General features: G+C 43.0%; 1 annotated feature.

The window, feature by feature from the left end:
• Positions 12,937-13,470: an enhancer, noted in NCBI's record as "NANOG-H3K27ac-H3K4me1 hESC enhancer chr19:21183049-21183582 (GRCh37/hg19 assembly coordinates)". NCBI's record gives its function as "activates a minimal SCP1, AML or CMV promoter by ChIP-STARR-seq in naive H9 embryonic stem cells {active_cell/tissue: H9 hESC(naive)}" and the evidence as "EXISTENCE:reporter gene assay evidence [ECO:0000049][PMID:30033119]".

The following is a 19,136-nucleotide window of genomic DNA, read 5'->3' as shown; positions in this document are numbered from 1 at the left end:
AGCTGGGATTACAGGCGCCCACCACCACGCCTGGCTAATTTTTGTATTTTTAGTAAAGACAGGGTTTCACCATCATGGCCAGGCTGGTCTTGAACTCCTGACCTCGTGATCCACCCTTCTTGGCCTCCCAAAGTGCTGGTATTACAGGCATGAGCCACTGCTCCCGGCCGAAATAAGTATATTATTGGAGCCTTTTTCAGAAATGTCTCCTGAGCAAAACATATTTTTTATTATCCTTTAAGCTACTGTTATAACATCAGACTTTTCCCATGAGAAAATTTTTATTCTACAAGAAAATATGCATTAAACATGACAATTGAATAAGATTTCTTTACAAATGTTTAAATAGATCCTCAGGTAGCAGAAATGTACATGAAGCTTTTTTTTTTTTTTTTTTTGAGATGGAGTCTCGCTCTGTCACCCAGGCTGGAGTGCAGTGGCGCGATCTCGGCTCACTGCAAGCTCCATCCCCCGAGTTCATGCCATTCTCCTGCCTCAGCCTCCCGAGTAACTGGGACTACAGGTGCCTGCCACCATGCCCGGCTAATTTTTTTTTTTTTTTTTTGTATTTTTAGAAGAGACGGGGTTTCACCGTGTTCGCCAGGATGGTCTCAATCTCCTGACCTTGTGATCCACCCGCCTTGGTCTCCCAAAGTGTACATGAAGTTTGGATTGTCTTCTCAGGATTATATGTTTGAGAGGAAAAAAACGGTCCTAACCTATTTTGGTAGTTAGGACAGTCACCACACACACACACACACACACACACACACACACACACACACATTTAATTTATATTTAACTTAGATTATTATTATGTATTTTTTTGAGATGGAGTTTCACTCTTATTGCCCAGGCTGGACTGCAATGGCACCATCTCAGCTCGCTGCAACCTCTGCCTCCCAGGTTCAAGTGATTCTCCTGCCTCAGCCGCCCAAGTAGCTGGGATTACAGGAGTGCACCACCACACCCAGCTAATTTTGTATTTTTAGTAGAGACAGAGTTTCTCCGTGTTGGTCAGGCTGGTCTTGAACTCCTGACCTCAGGTGATCTGCCCACCTCGGCCTCTGAAAGTGCTGGGATTACAGGCATGAGCCACTGTGCCCCGCCAACTTAGACTATTTTTTATCTCTTCTGTGGCGAGTGATAAAATGCAGTGCTTTTGATAAAGGAAGCTTTAAGAACTCAGGAATGAAAAAAGTCACTGCTGTCTAGGTTCTCTATGAGTTCACACTTAACATTAAATTTATGTCCTCTTAAATATCAAGTTTGTTTCTTCAATTTAGGTTCATAGCACTGATAACTGAGAGGTTATCATAGGTAATCTGACTTGGAACACACAGTTTACTCAAATGGCACATCTAAAAAATTTCAGTACTGGCTGATTTAGTATAAAAATGTGGCAGAGTATTTTCATAATGTATAATTCATTTTTGTTTTGCCTGGATTACTAGTTTTATTTTTTATATATATTTTTTGAGACAGAGTCTCACTCTGTGGCTCAGGCTGGAGTGCAATGGCACAATTTTGGCTCAATGCAACCTCCGCCTCCCAGGTTAAAGTGATTCTCCCCTCAGCCTCCCAAGTAGCTGGGACTACAGGCATGCACCACTATGCCTGGCTAATTTTTGTATATATATATATTTTTTTAAGTCTCTTTTTTTTCCCCATAAGTTACTGGGCTACAGGTGGTATTTGGTTACATTAGTATGTTCTTTAGTGGTGATTTGTGAGATTTTGTTGCACCCATCACCTGAGCAGTAGAGCAGTATACACTGCACCATATTGGTAGTCTCTATCCCTCATCCCCCTCCTACTCTTTCCCCAACATCCCCAAAGTCCATTGCATCATTCTTATGCCTTTGTGTCCTCATAGCTTAGCTCCCACATCTCAGTGAGGACATTCAATGTTTGATTTTCCATTCCTGAGTGACTTCACTTAGAATAATAGTCTCCAATGTTATCCAGGTCACTGCAAATGTTAATTCATTCCTTTTTATGGCTGAGTAGTATTCCATTGTGTGTGTGTGTGTGTGTGTGTGTGTGTGTGTATATGATGATATATATATATGATGTGTATATATATATATGTATATATGATATGATTCTTTCCTTCATCTTAACGTTAGATAACCTGATGACAATGTGATTAGGTGATGATCTTTTTGTGATGAATTTCTCAGGTATTCTTTGTGCTTTTTGTATTTGAATGTCTAGGCCTCTGGCAAAACCAGGTAAGTTTTCTTCAATTATTTCCCCAAATATGTTTTCCAAACTTTTAGATTTTTCTTCTTTTTCAGAAAAACCAATTATTCAGGCTTCTTTAAGGTTTTGTTCATTTTTTTTTGTCTTTGCTGGATTGTGTTAATTTGAAGATCTTGTCTTTGATCTCTGAATTTCTTTCTTCTACTTGTTCAATTCTATTGCTGAGACTTTCCAGAGCATTTTGCATTTTTATAAGTGTGTCCAATATTTCCTGAGGTTCTGATTGTTTTTTCTTTATGCTATTTCCTTGCATATTTATCCCTTATTTTTATTTTATTTACTTATTCATTATTATTTTTTATTATTTTTATTTATTATTATTTTTTGAGATAGAGTTTCACTCTTGTTGCCCAGGCTGGAGTGCAATGGCACAATCTTGGCTCACCACAACCTCTGCCTCCCGGGTTCAAGCGATTCTCCTGCCTCAGCCTCCTGAGTAGCTGGGATTACAGGCATGCTCCACCACACCTGGCTAATTTTGTATTTTTAGTAGAGATAGGGTTTCTTCACGTTGGTCAGGCTAGTCTCGAACTCCCGACCTCAGGTGATCCATCCACCTCAGCCTCCCAGAGTGCTGGGATTACAGGCATGAGCCACCAACCCAGCCTATTTTTAATTTTTTTGAGATGGAGTCTTGCTCTGTCGACCAGGCTAGAGTGCAATGGCGCAATCTTGGCTCACTACAACCTCTGCCTCCCGGGTTCAAGTGATTCTCCTGCCTCAGCCCCCTGAGTAGCTGGGATTAAAGGCTTGCACCACCACGCCTGGCTAATTTTTGTATTTTTACTAGAGACGGGGTTTCACCATGTTGGTCAGGCTGGTCTGGAACTCCTGACCTCGTGATCTGCCCACCTCTGTTGTAGCAGGATGAGACACAGACAAGAACCCCTCAGACACCGAGTTGCAGAAGGAAAGGGCTTTATTCAGCTGGCAGCATTGGAAGACTCACATCTCCAAAAACTGAGCTCCCTGAGTGAGCAATTCCTGTCCCTTTCAAGGGCTTACAACTATAACGGGGTCCGCCTGAAAAGGTCATGATTGATTGAGCAAGCAGAGGGTATGTGACTGGGGGCTGCATGTACCACTAGTCAGAACAGAACAGAACAGGATAGGGATTTTCATGATGCTTTTCCATACAATGTCTGAAATCTATAGATAACACAAGCAGTTAGGTCAGGGGTGGATTTTTAACTAGCAGGCCCAGGGCATGATGCTGGGCTATCTGCCTGTGGATTCCATTTCTGCCTTTCAGTTTTCACTTCTTCTTTCTTTGGAGGCAGAAACTAGGCATAAGACAATATGAGGGGTGGTCTCCTCCCTTTTTCCCCCCGTTTGAGAACCTCTCTCATTAGTGGAAGTTCTCACCTTTATCCTCACTACTCATGTCTTCCTGTAAGACAGATCGATAGTGATTCATATAGTACACTTGTGCTGAAGCATTTTGGTGAACTAAGGTAGCGATGAAGCTTTTTATCATTTGAAGAAGTACATAGCAAACAAGGGAGCAGTAAGCATGTTTTTATTACTATTATAACTCCTACTATAAGAGTTTTAAATCCTCCTAGTGCTGGGAACCATTTTTCAAACATGGCCCCAGGATTAAATCCATGCCACACTTGCGCAGGCACATGTGCCAGTTTTGTCATGTCTCTAACTATGTCTTCAACTACTTGCCCTTGGTCATCTATGTGTAGACAGCAATTAGTAAGGTTAAATTTCCCACAGACCCCTCCTTTAGCTGTTAGCAAGTAGTCTAGGGCTAGTCTATATTTATAGATAGCATTTCTCATCTGGGTTTCTTGCTGGGCTAAAACAGTTGAAGCTCTGCCAGTTTTATTAGTGATTATTTCTAAGACAGCTTGTAATCGTATGATTCAGTTGAGCATATAAATGGGGATTCGGTATCCCCATGAGCTGTCTTGTGCCTAAGTGGCAGGCCCATAGTACTGTATGATTCTTTCAGGGGGCCACTTGTCATCTTTTCAGTCGCCTATAGCTATGCTTCTCTTTTCTCGGGAAGCATAGACCAGGAAACCTAGAAGTTCGCCTGTTTTTATGGGCAGTAGGAAAAAAGATGGGTTATAGCACACATCAGGCTGGTCATTTCGTGGGCTACATACCTTGTATAGAATAGCATTATACAAACAAGTTCCTTTTAGAGTCCTGGTACACTTAAAATAACCATAAAATAATAGGACTGTAGCAAACTTTTGTCCTACCTCAGTGACTTGATGTATATATTGGGAACAGTCCTCAGTCTGAGGAAGGTCAGTTGAAGTCCTTACTGTACAAGTCCAAATTTTCAGGGAAATGAGTCCTGTGATTAATTTCCTCATGCTTTGGTGATGCGGGAACCAGTCAGCTTCCAGGTGTGACTGGAGCAGGGCTTGCCATCTTTTTCAGAGTCACTTTGCAGAGGTTGGCAAAGCTGCTCCCATCCAAGTATAGCTCACAGTCTCCTGATACTCAAGATGGTCTCGGAGGTTGGGCCCACTAGAATAAACTGAGTCTAATACCTCTACACAGTTATGTAGGGCCCAGCCCTACAGGGTCTGTGGGTTTTTTCTCCTCATGTGCGGAGATGAGAGATCATAGAAATAAAGACACAAGACAGAGATAGAAGAAAAGACAGCTGGGCCCGGAGGACCACTACCACCAAGGTGTGGAGACTGGTAGTGGCCCTGAATGCCTGGCCATGCTGTTATTTGTTGGATACAAGACAAGGGGGCAGGGTAAGGAGTGTGAGCCATCTCCAATGATAGGTAAGGTCACACGAGTCACGTGTCCACTGGACAGGGGGCCCTTCCCTGTTTGGCAGCCGAGGTGGAGAGAGAGAGAGGACAGATTACACCACTATTTCTTTTATGCATTTCAAAGACTTTTAGTACTTTCACTAATTCTGCTACTGCTATCTAGAAGGCAGAGCCAGGTATACAGAGTGGAACATGAAAGTGGACCAGGAGCGTGACTATTGAAGCACAGCATCACAGGGAGACGGTTAGGCCTCCAGATGGCTGCAGGCGGGCCTGACTGATGTCAGGCCTTCCACAAGAGGTGGTGGAGCAGAGTCTTCTCTAACTCCCCCGGGGAAAGGGAGACTCCCTTTCCTGGTCTGCTAAGTAATGGGTGCCTTCCCTAGGCACTGATGCTACTGCTAGACCAAGGTCTGCTAGGTAATGGGTGCTGGCATTACTGCTAGACCAGGGAGCCCACTAGTGGCCCTGTCTGGGCGTAACAGAGGGCTAACATTCTTGACTTCTGGTCACTTCTCACCATGTCCCTTCACCTCCTATCTCTGTAGGGCCTGGTTTTTCCTAGGTTATAATTGTAGAACAAAGATTATTATAATATTAGAATAAAGAATAATGCTACAAACTAATGATTAATGACATTCATATATAATCATATCCATAATCTATTTCTAGTAGAACTATTCTTATACTATATATTTTCTTTATTATACTGGAATAGCTTGTGCCCTCAGTCTCTTGCTTTGGCACCTGGGTGGCTTGCCACCCACATCTTCCCCCTTTTTATTGACTAGGATCACCACCACCATCATTGCTTGTTGTTGACTTTGCACTTGTCCTCAGACTCCTTGGAGACATGTGCAGACTAAAAGTAGACAACATAAACATACCAATATTAATAATGCCAGTGACAACAATGATCCTCCGAGGGGTTTGATCCATTTAAAAGGATTAAGACAGTTATGTTTTAACTGGGCTCTCTGATACCGGGAGCAAGGTGGCAGGGTTTAGGGTGTTGCAAACTTCAATGGTTATGGGGGGATTTTCACATAGCAAGATTTGGTACTTGTTAATCTAGCATTTGTTAGCCAATGATGTCCTTTGGTATTCATCAAATTTACCACAGCATGGGGGGGCCTTTATATTCAGGTTTTGCCCAAGAGTTAGCTTATCTGCTTGTTGTGCTAGCAGGGCTGTTGCTGCCAAGGCCCTCAAACATGAGGGCCAACACTTAGAAACCCTGTCTAATTGTTTAGAGAGATAGGCCACCAGCTTTGGCCAGTGTCCCACAGTCTGGGTTAAAACTATTAACTATCATTTTTTTTTCTGACACATATTGTGTAAAAAAAAAAAAAATTATAAAAAAAGAATTTATGCAAGAAATTGTTGTATAAATTTAAAAGTAATTAGTCCTCCTGAATGTAAAACTATTGTGAGGTCAGGTAGCCCCAGGGCTGGGGCCGCCATGAGCTTTTCTTTTAACTCACGAAAAGCTCGTTGCTGTTGGTTGTAATAGATGTAGTTTATCCAATCTACATTTTTATTAACTGTCACCCACCAAAATATTGACTCAAATCCTGCAGCTATTTGATTTCAAGCTTTAAATTGATCTGGTATTCCCCGTGGGACTCCAATTGTGTCTAAATAGACGTGAGAGTCGAAAGACCCATAAGGGGCTTCTCTTACTTTACGATGTCTTATTTTTCCTCCCTCTGGTTGATGAAATGCCAGGGTGAAAGGGATAGCCAATTGGACTAAAGTACAAGTGCCACTCCAGTTATTCGGCACAGTGCCCAGTAAAGGTCCACCACAATACCACCACACATCTGCTCAGGGATGAACAAGGGCTGACTGATTGATAAGCTCTTGAAAATTCTTAAGCTCACTGCATCCCTTCAGGTCTCCAAGGAATGCTAAGTTTCCTCCCTGTCATGAGAGACATGAAGTGAACTTAGTGTTGGGAGACAGAAGCTGGATGGCCCTCAGGGGCTGACTCACAGGGTGCTGGACTTTGGGATATCACAGAGAGAGCTTGGTACAACTTATTACTCCAGGCTGTAGAATCCTGGAAAAGAGCTACCATGCAGCCCATGCCTGGTGGACAGGAGGACCACCTTAGTGGAAAGGGGACAATCTGGGCCTCTGGCCTGCCATGTGCCCAAGCATAACAATTGCTTTTGTTTAACGTGTGGATGGAATATTTGATCCATTCCAACCAGGAATTTGCATCTTCGTATCCTGTTTGCCAAAGTTTGTTTTAAGTCTTTAACTTCTATGATCCTCTAGTAAAATTAATGTATGATTTTAGGGAATTACAAAAACCAGTTGGGGCAGTCCATCCTTGCTCTTTAGTGGTCCACAGAATGTTGGACCAACTATGGCATAAAAGCTCTACATTGGGGAGCAAGGCTCCTGGTTGACACTGGAGGCTTTATCGAAATTTCCCCGGATTAAACGGTCCTAATTTACTAATGCCCAGTCTGAGGAGAGTCAGGAGGGACAGAGGTACTTTTCTGAAGTACAGAGCTTTCTGAAGTACAAGTCTTTGACTTGGCAAGTCCCCACAGGGTATAACAAGGCATGCATTAAATGCAATAGTTTGAGGTGAAATTGACTTGGCTACATTAATAACTAGATGGTCAGCAATAGAGCGAGGAAAGAAGAAAGAGTAATAGAATAGATGAGAGAGTTAAATTTTTCTTAGCTTTAGTTTGGTAGGGTTTTCCTCTTGGACTATGGCCCATGACTCTGGAGGGGGTGGCGCTTTCTTGACTCAGTTGTGATGAGTCCATCCTTTTTTCGCTGCATGAACAGCAGTCTCAGTGGTTAGCAGCACAAGGTAGGGTCCTTCCTAGGCTGGCTCAAGTTTCCTTTCTTTTCACCCTTTGATGAGAACGTGATCTTCAGGCTGGTGCTGGTTTACTGGAAATTCTAGGGGTGGTACATGTGCTAAAAGACTTTTAGTTTTGATGGAAAGGAAAGCGGAAGATAAACCAAGTATATAATTTCTAAGAAACTGACCTTTTGTTTTAAATGTGGAGACATCAGCAGTGGACTTTGTAGTCCTTGGTGCCTTTCTACTGAGAAATTTCCTTTAGCATGTATTTTTTATTAGTTTTTAGATCAAAGAAGCCAAATACCATTTTATATTTGACAATGCTTCCTGTATGATTTTTATACCAGATAAGCTAAATTTCACCTTTATATTAGTGTGCTATTAATGTTAAACTTAGTTTTAATAAAACTTTATAGACACATTTATTCAATTTTTAATGTTGGATCATAAGGTAAGATTTTTTTTTTTTTTTTTTTTTTTTTGAGACGGAGTCTCGCTCTGTCGCCCAGGCTGGAGTGCAGTGGCGGGATCTCGGCTCACTGCAAGCTCCGCCTCCCGGGTTCACGCCATTCTCCTGCCTCAGCCTCCCAAGTAGCTGGGACTACAGGCGCCCGCAACTACGCCCGGCTAATTTTTTGTATTTTTAGTAGAGACGGGGTTTCACCGTTTTAGCCGGGATGGTCTCGATCTCCTGACCTCGTGATCCGCCCGCCTCGGCCTCCCAAAGTGCTGGGATTACAGGCGTGAGCCACCGCGCCCGGCCAAGGTAAGATTTTTATAGACTGTTTTTAACCTTTTATAATCTTTGTAAAAGAGCATGTTAGCGCTTTAAGAAAAACTCATTGTGTTTTTACTTTAACGTCCAGTTCACAGAACAACTGGATGATACCCCTTTAACTTTAGCTAATATGTTTACACACAGAATTTTCTTTAAAATTAATGTTTTAAAACTTGCTTAAACCTTCAAAACAATTTTTTTTAACCTTTTAATGTAGGTAAAAATTTACATTCTTATGCCTCCTTATAATCCTTTTACCAAAGTTATATTTTACTTTGTTTATACACCTTGCATATAAACTGTTTTTTTCAATAGTTTTACATTCAGGAGGCCTAGTTACTTTTAAATTATACAACATTTCTTGCATAAATTTTTTTTTATAACTTTTTTTCTTTCACGACTTTCACAGACAATTCTTCTACAGGCCTCAACTTTCTGACTTATTACAAACATTTCTTTCTTTAAACAACCAGTTAATTTATTTCAGGACAAGAATTTACCATATAACATTCTTTTTACATAAATTCTGCTCCCTCACCTTCTTTCCCCTTTTTTTCCCAAAGATGATAACCATTCTTTTCCAAAGTGAACTTCCTTTATGTCTGTGGACTAGACTGTCTAAGGCCACAAGATTAGAAGTTACTATAATACATGTTACACTGTTAACTTTTAGCAAACTTTACTTTTGTTGAAAACCTTGTAAGTTTTGGATTTCAATTATCCTTTGCTATTAATAAGACCTTGTTTAGTCCAAATTAACTTAGAATTGGTATAGATGGCTTCTTTTTTTTCCTTCTATCATCCCATCCTAAAGGGAGTTCCTCCTAGGTCTGGTCAGACCTTTGTATGGTAATTAAGATTTAGACCCCCTGTTAGGAAACCTGCTAGGTTAAGGGAATTTTCAGTGGCTAATGTTAAATCATCTTTTTTTTTTTTTCCCTTAGGATATTTCTGAACTGGTGAGGTGTGCTCACAATGAGGTTTCCTCTAAAAGTTATTTTTCTACTTTCTTCTGTTAACAAAGCAGTTGCTGCTACAGATTGAATGCATTTGGGCCATCCACAGATTACTCAGTTAAGAATTTTTGATACGAAGGCTACAGGTTGTCAGTGGCCTCAGTGCTTTTGGGCTTCACCCTTGCTTACACTTACAACAAGGTTGTATTGGAGTGTTGTAGGGTCACGGAAAAGACCTCCAATTATCAATTACAGGTTTTAAATTTACGCTGGCTTTTAAAAGAATAGGGTACACTTTTTTTTTCTTAACTACTTGTATATTTCCCTCTTTCTTTCTCTCTTTCACTTTCTGTCTCTCTCTCTCTCTCTTCTTGACTCCCTCTTTGTCTGTCTCTTCCTCTCTCTCTCTGCTGGTCTTTCCTTGCCTCTGCCAGCCGCTTATGCTGCTGTTCTCTCAACCACTGTGGGGGGCAGTCTAAAACCAGCTGTAACCAAGTGTCTATATACAGGAACTGGTCAGTGTGCCCTGGATTACAGGTTACCTTGTGCCATACCTTTGAAACAAGGGACCTGTCCAGGCTTCCTTCTGGTGGCCAACCCACCTCTAATGCTGTTCAGTCTATCTTACACAAAGTTTTAAGTTTTCCTGGTGTCATAGTACTCCATAGTCTCCCTTAAATCTTGAAATTTTCAACATAGTTCCTGGTGGGGTGGGCTTACTTTGTGCTTGACCCATGCTTCCTCAAGACAAAACACCACGCTCACACCACACGCACACCACAAAACAAAGAACGGGTAAAAAGGGCACACACACACTTTCACAGTTTACACCAAATCAGAACCAAAACAAAAATCAGAGTATCAAGAAATCCAAGCCAGGTCAAAACCAAAACCAAAGTATCGAGCAATCCAAGTCAAGTCAAAAACAAAAACCAAAGTGCCGGTACAGGCACGTCGTGGGTGATCAGGCCATGCTTCCACTCAAATGGAGTGGGCAAGTTCCAAAGACCAGTCTTACCAAGTTTCAGATGTCTGGACTCCAAGTGCCAGTTCCTTCCTGGTGTTCAGCCACTGCGTTGATCCTCCGCAGGGGCCTGCTGTGCACCGCTCTAACAAGGCATTCCACCAGGGCAAATGCCTATCTGGGAGCGCTCTCAGGATCCATGTTGCTCAAGCTGGCCAGAGTCCCCCGCAGGGATGCTCCACAGGGCAAGCCTCAGCTGCCTAAGGAGGTGCATCAACCATCCATCCATTAATCACCTCATTCCCAGTCAGGGAACCAAGAAATGTAGCAGGACTAGCTGCAGACAAAAATCCCTCAGACACCAAGTTAAGGAAGGGCTTTATTCAGCTGGGAGCACTGGCAGATTCACGTCTCCAAAAACTGAGCTCCCCGAGTGAGCAATTCCTGTCCCTCTTAAGGGCTTGCAACTCTAAGGGGGTCCGCATGAGAGGGTTGTGATCAATTGAGAAAGCAGGGGGTACATGACTGGGGGCTGCATGCACTAGTAATTAGAATGGAACAGAACAGGACAGGGATTTTCACAGTACTTTTCCATACAATGTCTGTAATCTATAGATAACATAACCGATTAGGTCAGGGGTCAATCTTTAACTACCAGGCTCAGGGTGTGGCACTGGGCTGTCTGCCTGTGGATTTCATTTCTGCCTTTTAGTTTTTAGTTCTTCTTTCTTTGGAGGCAGAAATTGGGCATAAGACAATATGAGGGCTGGTCTCTTCCCTTATTCTTGAGATGGAGTCTCGCTTTGTGGCCCAGGCTGGAGTGCACTGGTGCAAGCTCAGCTCACTGCAACCTCCTACTCCCTGGTTCAAGCAATTCTCCTGCCTCAGCCTCCCAAGTAGCTGGGACTACAGGCACGTGCCACCATGCCCAGCTACTTTTTTTTGTATTCTTAGTAGAGATGGGGTTTCACCACGTTCGCCAGGATGGTCTCGATCTCCTGGCCTCATGATCCACCCACCTTGGCCTCCCCAGCTGCTGGGATTACAGGCATGAGCCACCGTGCCCGGCCAGAAGAGACACATATCTGACTCAAGTGTCAAATCAGGCAATCCTATAAGTTGGTACATTCTGCCACCCTTACCCTACTCACTAAAGTGCTCAAAGCTCTCCCTCCCAGAAGACACTGCACAGTGCCCTACAGTGTGTCCCTGGTGTTTTTTTTTTTTTTTTTTTTTGCTTTGCAAGTTCTTGCATGCCTCCTTAGGGTGAGTTTTTTTTGTTGTTGTTGTTTGTTTGTTTTTTTTGTCTTTTAAAACAGTTCTCCCCCCTTCACAAATATGAGATAATTCAGAAGACAGGCATTATTTTTGTCTTTTCCCCTAAATACAACCATCCAATTGGCTGACCAGGAAGAACTGGGGCTGGGGAAAGAAAATCTTAAGATCCCCAAAGGTTCTTTTTATGGGAAGGGTAAACCAGGATATTTCTCTCAGCCTCAGGACATTCAGCTGCTCTCCTGAGAAGCTCCATTTCCATACATCAGTGTGTCCTCTGGAAGGAGATGACCAAGGGGCTGATATTCACCAAACCTTCCAAAAGGTATGGCTGTTGTGTGTATCTTGGGTTATCCCAAGAGAGCTCTAAAACTCAAGACTTAAAAAAAAGCAGTGTGGCTGAGGACACACTGTCCCATCAAGTTTCCAAAGGGAAACTTGAATTTAAAGATATCCTGATAAGGCATTTGTGCCTAGGGAAGATAAAAGAAGAAAAAGCAGAAAAATTTTTGACAGTGGAGTGTAATGGGATTATTTTCTGCTTTCCTCCGGTGAAATATTTACAAATAGAAACATACAATAAAAAACAAAAATAGTTGATAATGTTGTGAATTGGATGGGAGTAGTTGGCTTTGGTGAATGTTGAAAAGAAACTGGAAATTTCAGTCCTGGTGCAGTGGCTCACGCCTGTAATCCCAGCACTTTGGGAGGCCAAGGCGGGCGGATCACCTGAGGTCAGGAGTTGGAGAGCAGCCTGGCTAACACGGTGAAACCCCGTCTCTACTAAAAATACAAAAATTAGCCGGGTGTGGTGGCACATGCCGGTAATCCCGGCTACTTGGGAGGCTGAGGCAGGAGAATTCCTTGAGCCTGGGAGACGGAGGTTGCAGCCTGGCCAATAGAGTGAGACTCCGTCACAAACAAAAAAAAAAAAAAAAAAGAAACTGGAAATTTAAGATTTTACTGCAAGCCAAGTTAGGCTGGCAGAACAGATTTAAGACTCTGCTTGCCACACATTTGGAAAATGTAGGAAAAAAACAGTGCTTCTGATTAAAGTTAAAATAATTAAATAGCAGGTAGACTGAAGTGGCTCTAGGGATCTAGGTTCCTGTGTAACAGCAACAAAACGATCTAACTCAAATGCGTATCTCGTAAGTTACTACCTTAGGAGAAAACAAAATTCAGGCTTAACCAACCATAAATCTCCAATTAATCTGATTACATAACCAGAAAATTTTCTCCTGGACACTCTAAATGAAACGACTACATAACTGTACCCAATCAATTATTTAGTTTGCTTTGCCTCTTCACAAACCTTAAAGCCTTTTCTTCAAGACCCGCTGGTAGCCCCCAAACGACAAACCATGTCTGGGGCTGTCCCACTGGTTCATCACTGTTTGCTCATATAAATTCTTTAATGTTTTAATGGTGCCTCCGTTTATGTCTGAATAGGTTAAAGTAGGGACTGGTGACCCCACAGACCAGAGCTCCTTCCACGCAGAAGCCCTGCACACCAAGTCGGCGTCTTTCCCTGGTGAACCTCTCCTCATCACCTCACAAGCTGGGGAAGATGCGGGCGCAGAGCTGCGCAAAGAGGGCTACAGGCTGGGGCCAAAGCCGCTGTGCTGAAACGGTACAGGACGCCTGGGTACCCTGCACCAGAGGAGACTGAGGGCTGAGCTGAGGGGGGCTCAGGCTCACAGACTCGGTCCCGCCACCGCCATTTCCGGCCGACTCCGATGAGGCCTCCCCAGTCTCCGGACGCCCTGACCCGCAAACTCAGCATTTCTCGGCTTTGTGGGTGTCCTGGAGTCTTAGCTATGAATGTTCCAATACCAGTAGGTCACAGGGCGACGGAGGATGAGGCTGTGGCAGAATCACCGAGACCTCCTGGAGCGGAGCACGCAGGCCAGTGATGTACTAACCCCAAGCTCTACCTGGAGCGAAAGACAAAGGCCCCGCCAGATACCGGGAGCCGCCCCTTCCTCTCTGGCTGTGAATCTGATTGGACAGTTTCCATCCCAGCACCCTGATTGGATAGAGCTCCCGGCCCCGCGCCCTCGGGCCTTGAGTGACAGAAGATGCTACCAGACAGTGCACTGAATGAGGCAAGAGTGACAGACTCTTGGCTCCAGTCATCTCCAGCAAGGGCTTTACCTCTGAGCTGGGCTTAGCTCTGCCTGGGGGTAATTTTTTAATCTTGTGTATAAGGTTAGGTCCACTTATAAATTTTATACACACACATATATGTTGTTTACAAATGGAAACACTATAATGGCAATTATTTTAATATTTAATATTTCATAACACTTCCGGCCCCTGATCTTCTGAGTAGGCAACCTGAGATTTTAAAAGAAAAGCAATCCTCTAAAACATAAAATGTCAGCCGTGTGTGAATTTTAAATATTTTAGTAGCCACATTAAACATAATAAAAAGAAACAAGTGAAATTATTTTTTAACCCAGTACATCCAAAATATTATTATTTTAACCCATTTATGCCTGAGGTTGCAATTTTTAAAATTTTTGCAGTCAGACGTTGGCAATGACCTTGAGCAGTGAGATATAAATAACTCCCATATGCTTAGTGTTCCAATAATGGAACACTGGGAATAAATGTGTGATCAACATATAATAATTATTATTATCATCATCTTTTTTTTGAGACAGAGTTTTGCTCTTGTTGCCCAGGCTAGAGTGCAATGGCGTGATCTCAGCTCACTGCAACCTCTGCCTCCTGGGTTCAATCACTTCTTCTGCCTCAGCCTCCCAAGTAGCTGGGATTACAGATGTGGGCCACCACACCCAGCTAATTTTGTATTTTTAGTAGAGACAGGGTTTTGCCATGTTGGCCAGGCTGGTCTTGAACTCCTGGCCTCAGTGATCCACCCATCTCGGCCTCTCAAAGTGCTGGGATTACAGGTGTGAGCAACCTCACCCAGCCCAATATATAATAATGATAATAATAATTATTATTATTATTTTGAGATGGAGTCTCACTCTGTCGCCCAGGCTGGAGTGCAGTGGCACAATCTTGGCTCATGGCAAGCTCCGCCTCCTGGGTTCACGCCATTCTTCTCCCTCAGCCTCCCGAGTAGCTGGGACTACAGGCACCCACCACCACGCCCAACTAATTTTTTGTATTTTTAGTAGAGACGCATTTCACCATGTTGGCAGGATGGTCTCGATATCCTGACCTTATGATCCACCCGCCTCGGCCTCCCAAAGTGCTGGGATTACAGGCGTGAGCCACCGTGCCTAGCCCAGTATGTAATTATTAATAGAGTGATTTTTGGTTCTAAATTTTCTTAACTGACTCTATTTCATATCTGCAGCACATCTCATTTTAAATCAGCCACATTCCAGGTACCCAGTAGCCTCAAATGGCAAGTAGCTGGCACATTGAAGTGCATCTCTGAAGACTGTGACTCTCTGACCTCAAAGAGGTAAAGGACCTGAATATCCTTTTTCTGCTGGAAGTGAGAGAACAGCCTCTGCCTATAAACTTCTCTGTTCAGGCCCAAGGGTGGGAGGCACAGTGCCCTTAGACAGAGCAGCAGCTGCAAGCAGGAAGTGTCCACATGTAGACCACTGTGTCCCAGTTGCTGTTTGGAGGGGATTTCTCTTCCAAATATCAGACAGTAAACAATGGATGATAGGGCCTCAGAAGGAGGAAACCCCATGTCTTCACATCTCTTCACAGTGTTGACCTCCAAAGTTCAGATGTGGAGGGAATAGATTAAAGGCTGATATGGTTTGGCTCTTTGTCCCAACCCAAATCTCATCTTGAGTTGTAATCCCCACATGTCGGGGAGGGGCCTTGTGGGAGGTGATTGAGTCGTGGGGGCAGACTTCCTCTTGCTGCTCTCTGATAGAGTTCTCAGGAGATCTGGTTGTTTGATAAGTCTATAGTGCTTTCTCTCTCTTTCACTCTCTCCTGCCACCTGTTGAAGACATGCCTTTCTTCCCTTTTGCCTTCTGCCACGATTGTACGTTTCCTGAGGCCTCCCCAGCCATGCAGAATTTTGAGTCAATTAAATCTCTTCTCTTCATAAACTACTCTGTTTCAGGTAGTTTTTTTGTTTGTTTGTTTGTTTTTTGGGGTTTTTTTTGACAGAGTCTCACTCTTGTCGCCCAGGCTGGAGTGCAGTGACGCGATCTGTGCTCACTGCAACCTCCGCCTCCCATGTTCAAGCAATTCTTCTGCCTCAGCCTCCCGAGTAACTGGGATTACAGGTGCCTGCCACTACAACCAGCTAATTTTTTGTGTTTTTAGTAGAGACGGGGTTTCACCGTGTTAGCCAGGACAGTCTCGATCTCCTGACCTTGTGATCCACCTGCCTCAGCCTCCCAAAGTGCTGGGATTACAGGCATGAGCCACCGTGCCTGGCCTCAGGTATGTCTTTATAGCAGTGTGAAAATAAATTAATACAAAGGTCAACTCCTTATTTTGCTATTTGGCCTCGGACCTAATTGTCTGGCTGTAGCTGTATGTTTTTCTCCTGTGGTATGGGGCACTGTGTGAGTTTAAGCACCAATTATATACATCTACTTGCTCTTCTGTATAATTCAATACCACCTAACAGAAATCTAACTTTAAATAAATGGAAAAGAAAATCAGTACTTATAAGGTGCAGACCATTTGCAGGTTATTTGCAATGAATCTTTTTGGAATCCTGATACCCTGTCTATAATGAATGTTTATGTTAGTAAGGTATAACTGCATAACAAACTATCCTAAAACTTACTAGCTCATCATTGAACTGGTTAGAAATTTAGGCTGGGCTTCAGGCATGAGTGGTCAGCTGCTGGCAGATTGGGTGGTTCTGCTTCTGAGAGTGAGCTACCTGTCAACTGGGGCACTTCAATTTTTCTCCTTGTGATACTTTTATTTTTCAGCAAGCAAAAATGAGCTTTTAAGACCCATTTTAGAAACATTTAAGACGTTTTGAGCCTAGGCTCAAAACTGACATGCTGTCATTTCAGTTTTGGCCTGTGCAAATAAGGCCAGAAAGATCCAAGATTTAGAAAACAGATCCTGTCTCTTGATGGGAACTATTATAAAATCATATGCTAAGGGCATGGATATGAGAATGAATAAAAATAATTGTTTTTTTCAATCAATTTTATTATGCTTTTTTTTTTTTTTTTTTTTTTTGGAGACGGAGTCTCACTGTCGCTCAGGCTGGAGTGCAGTGGCGCGATCTCGGCTCACTGCAAGCTCCACCTCCCGCGTTCATGCCATTCTCCTGCCTCAGGCTCCGCAATAGCTGGGACTAAAGGTGCCCGCTACCACGCCCGGCTAATTTTTTTGTATTTTTTTAGTAGAGATGGGGTTTCACCCTGTTAGCCAGGATGGTCTCGATCTCCTGACCTCGTGATTTGCCCGCTTCTGCCTCCCAAAGTGCTGGGATTACAGGCGTAAGCCACTGCGCCCGGCCTATTATGCTTTTATTTGCAGATAAGGTTTATTTAACTGTCCCACAGCTACTAAGCAGCTGGGCTGGGATTAAGGATTAACTCTATCTGAGTCCAGAGCTCATGCACTTCCACAGACCACACTACTCAGCCACGTTTTCTAGTCCATCAAGACTCTGGAGGCTGGGCGCGTGGCTCACGCCTGTAATCCCAGCACTTTGGGAGGCCGAGGTGGGTGGATCACAAGGTCAGGAGATCGAGACCGTCCTGGCTAACACGGTGAAACCCCGTCTCTACTAAAAACACAAAAAATTAGCCGGGCCTGGTGGCGGGTGCCTGTAGTCCCAGCTCCTCGGGAGGCTGAGACAGGAGAATGGCGTGAACCCGGGAGGCGGACATTGCAGTGAGCCGAGATCATGCCACTGCACTCCAGCCTGGGCAACAGAGAGAGACTCCGCCTAAAAAAAAAAAAAAGGCTCTGTAGAGGGACACTTCTGAAATAGAAGCAAGATTATGTTTTATTCTCATCCCATCCAGTTAGCACTCTTGGGGGAATTCATTCCCTCTAGAGAATGCTGCTGAAGTCTCTTGGAAAAACTATAAACCATTTGAGAAAATGGCTGAACACTGAGTTTAGTAAATTAAGGCCTAATATTATGTTTTTTATTTCTCATTATAAGAGAAATTTGAAAACACCTATAATGCACTCCACACATCTGCAAAATCTTTGTATCTCTTTCTGGTAGTTCTAGGCTATTTATAATTTTCAACACAGAAGAAATCAAATTACTGTGCCTGAAACAACCTCTTACTCGAAAGGTAAGTGACATAGATAGAGCTGCTGATATTTTCTCCTGCTGCAATTTAGCCAAACAGCTGTGTATACTTTGAAGGGCAAAGATGTTTTCTAAGCCCACAAATTTAGGAGCAGCTATGGGGCAAAGCCTGAAGCACACATAAAAATCACACACAAGCAATGCATTCTTCACCCTGAATAAATGCTTCTTACCCCTGCCTGGATATTAGAGCAACCTGAAGGTGGGATGTTTAAAGTCCCCAAACTCAAGTTGCAATGGCACAATTAGCCAAAATCCTGGAGTGAGACCCAGGAGACAATGTGATTTAAAGCTCTCCAGGAGGTTACAGTCACAGCCAAACTCCCAAATCACTGCTTGACATGAACATCATTTGGTGAGCTAGTTTAAAATATTTTCCAAATAAATGCAAAAGTGTTTGCTGTTGAGTGTAGCCTTTCAGTCTTCATTGTGTACCTACTTTCTATCATTTGTAGAACTGACCTCTGCTACTTGTTTTGTTCCTGATTCAAACCAGTTCTGTACAGACTGGGTGCACACTGCGTGCAGGGCACTGTGCTAGGCGGCCTGGCCTTGGTGAGTACTATCGTGGGGAGAAGACTTTGCTGTAAAAAATTGCATCCTCCAAATTAAAACAGTGCTACTTAATTGAGGTAGAAATTGGAAAACCTTATGGGTCTCCCAAGAGACAGAACATAAAGATATACCTTGGAATATTAATATCCATCTCAGAACACCTGCATGAAAATGCCCCACTTTAAAACAAAATAATACCAAACATTACTGTAATTCTGAAATATTGTTAGGATTAAATATGTAATATTTAAATTTTTATTAATGTATAGCATACATACAGAAATACATGCACAAAGCATTAATATAAAGCTTAATAAATCATTGTAAGGCAAACACATTTGTTTAACCATAGAATAGAATTAGCCTTGTTTATGCCCCCAACCACCATTTTCAGCCTCTTTTCCTTCTCCTCCCTAAAGGTAATCACAATCTTTTTTTGTTAATTTAATTTTTATTATTTTTAAAATTTTACTTTAAGCTCTGGGATACATGTGCAGAACATGC

The sequence above is a fragment of the Homo sapiens genome, chromosome 19 (assembly GCF_000001405.40).
Source record: "Homo sapiens chromosome 19, GRCh38.p14 Primary Assembly".
NCBI classification, from domain to species: domain Eukaryota; kingdom Metazoa; phylum Chordata; class Mammalia; order Primates; family Hominidae; genus Homo; species Homo sapiens.
This window is presented reverse-complemented; position numbering and strand designations above follow the sequence as displayed.